The sequence below is a fragment of the Homo sapiens genome, chromosome 3, assembly GCF_000001405.40.
Source record: "Homo sapiens chromosome 3, GRCh38.p14 Primary Assembly".
In the NCBI taxonomy this organism is placed as follows: Eukaryota; Metazoa; Chordata; class Mammalia; order Primates; family Hominidae; genus Homo; species Homo sapiens.
Window position 1 is genome coordinate 83,933,609 of NC_000003.12, and position 2,241 is coordinate 83,935,849.

General features: G+C 41.9%; 1 annotated feature.

Annotated features, from left to right (window-relative positions):
• Positions 570-1,769: an enhancer, noted in NCBI's record as "P300/CBP strongly-dependent group 1 enhancer chr3:83983329-83984528 (GRCh37/hg19 assembly coordinates)". NCBI's record gives its function as "activates an origin of replication core promoter dependent on BRD2, BRD4, P300/CBP, MED14 and CDK7 cofactors, with strong dependence on P300/CBP, by STARR-seq in HCT116 cells {active_cell/tissue: HCT116}" and the evidence as "EXISTENCE:reporter gene assay evidence [ECO:0000049][PMID:35650434]".

The following is a 2,241-nucleotide window of genomic DNA, read 5'->3' on the forward strand; positions in this document are numbered from 1 at the left end:
TATTTGACAGTACAAACCCATGTCTGGGCTTGGCTTTGAAAAGTCTTATCTGAGATTCCTTGTGGTACAGAGTTCCATCAAAGCTAATTTGAAAAAAACTATGTAAAAATAATTATTCTTGCTGTACTTTATGCAAATAATCAGGTCAAGTATACGACTAAATTTTATTTTGCAAACAACTCAGTCCTATCATGGTTTGTATTCAACAAAAACGAGGACTGAAAAGAAAAAAAAAATATGTTTCAAAATTTATTTTATGCTTGTCATTAAATTTAAATCTCATTGGTTGTTTTTTAAGTTCTTGCCCACCTCTTAGACTAACTCTGCTTATTTCTGTAAACCCACCAGCAATCTCCAGTTGTAGTTCAGAAGAAACAAAAAGGGATGGGTAATGTAAAAACCTCTACCATTATTCTACTTATGGGCAATTATCTTGCAAATCCTTTGATGTGATGAGAGTATATATGGTGCCCATAACTCAGAGATTTATTTGTTTGGGAAATAAAACCAAAAAAGTTAACCAAAGCCAAGCCCCATGCACCCAAATCTTAACAGGAATAACTATAGTCACCCGTTATCTGGGCATGTCGACAGCCTTGGGATTTTCAGGCTGTCCTTACCTCCCCCTGGTTTCATTTTAATACATTTCCTTTAATAACCTAAATTGCTTTTCCTTGACTAAAGGCTATCAAGGTCTAAATGGTGATGCAAATGTAACCATACATGGGTGTGCCTTCCTTCCGAGGACACTTAAATCAACACTAGGAGGAACCCTAGCTGCTCTTCCCCTACACTACATCCCTCTCCAAGAGGAAGTAGCTAGAATTTAATACCATTCCCTCTAACAGCAATTAGGATCTCCACTGCTGAGGCAGGAAATGAGAGAGGAGAAAGGAAAAAATTTGATCAGGTAGGCAGTTAGGGTGGGTCCTCTGTTGAATTCTTTCAAACAAAAGAACAGCCTGCAGGCACAAAACGGAAACTTACACAGGGACGCTTGCCTAAGATGTGCCCACAGATACACAGATAAAAAAGGCAACTCAGATGACTTGCCCAGACATGCCCACAATAACAAATTCCTTCCTCTGACACATGCACAGTAAGGGGAACAAAGCAATATAGAATAACTCAAGCTACAGGCCCTCATGCACATTAGGAGGACAGGGTGGAGTTACCAGAAATTTGTGCCTTATGCAAATGAGATGTCCAGCCCTCATTGATTTCTTATAAAAGCCTGTGCATTCAACTGTGAAAAATGCAATCCTTTCCTGGACTCCTCCCTGCTGCAGAGAGCTGTCCTCTTTCTTTCACCTGTTAAACTTCTGCTTCTGCTCTGATATCACCCCTGGTGTGTCTGCCTCCTTGAATTCTTCAGCCATGAGACTATGAACTTTGGGTGTCACCCCAGGCAATGAGTCCATTTCATTCTGATGAGGCTTCAGATGGAACTGAGGAACATCGTATTGGAAACTGGAGTAAATGCTGCGCTTGTTATAAATTGGCAAATATGTTGCCTGAATTGTGGATGCTCAAGGGCTTTGTGGAAGGCCAAATATGAGAGTGAAAAACTAGGATGTCTGGCAGAAGAAATTTCTAAGAAAATTATAGGAGATACAGAGTTACTTCTGGCTGCTTATACTGAGATTCAGGAGCAAAAGAATAACTTAGAACAATTTATAAATAAAAAGGGAAGCAGAGTGGAGAGATTCGAAAAAGTTTCAACCTAGCCACGTAAAGGGTAAAACAAAATGTCTTTAGGAGAGGAAACCAAGGGTGTGGTGTGGATAGAAAAGAAGCAGGTGCAATTTCACACATGGTAAAATTGAACCTAAAGGCATTTTAGAGATCTTCAAGGCTGCTGCTCTCATCACAGGCCCTGAGGCTTATGAAGGCACAATGGTTTCAGGGGATAGGCCTAGGGCACTCTCCATGGGCTCACTACCCAGAGCTGCCTCAGTTCTCTGCTCCTGGAACCCCACACTCCAGCACAGCACCCAGTGGCTGCTCCAGCCATGATACAGCCCCAGGTGTGGCTCACGCTGCAGCTCTGTAAAGCAGATCATAAACCTTAGTGGCATTCACCGTGTGCTAATACTGCAAATGTGCAGAAAGCAAGAGCTGTGGATGCTTAGCAGCCTGTACCCAGATTTCAAAAGATGTCATCAAAATAATAGGGGTACAGGGAAGAGACGTGTAGGGACTCAAGCACTGCAGAGAGCCCCTGCTAGAGCAATGCTGAAC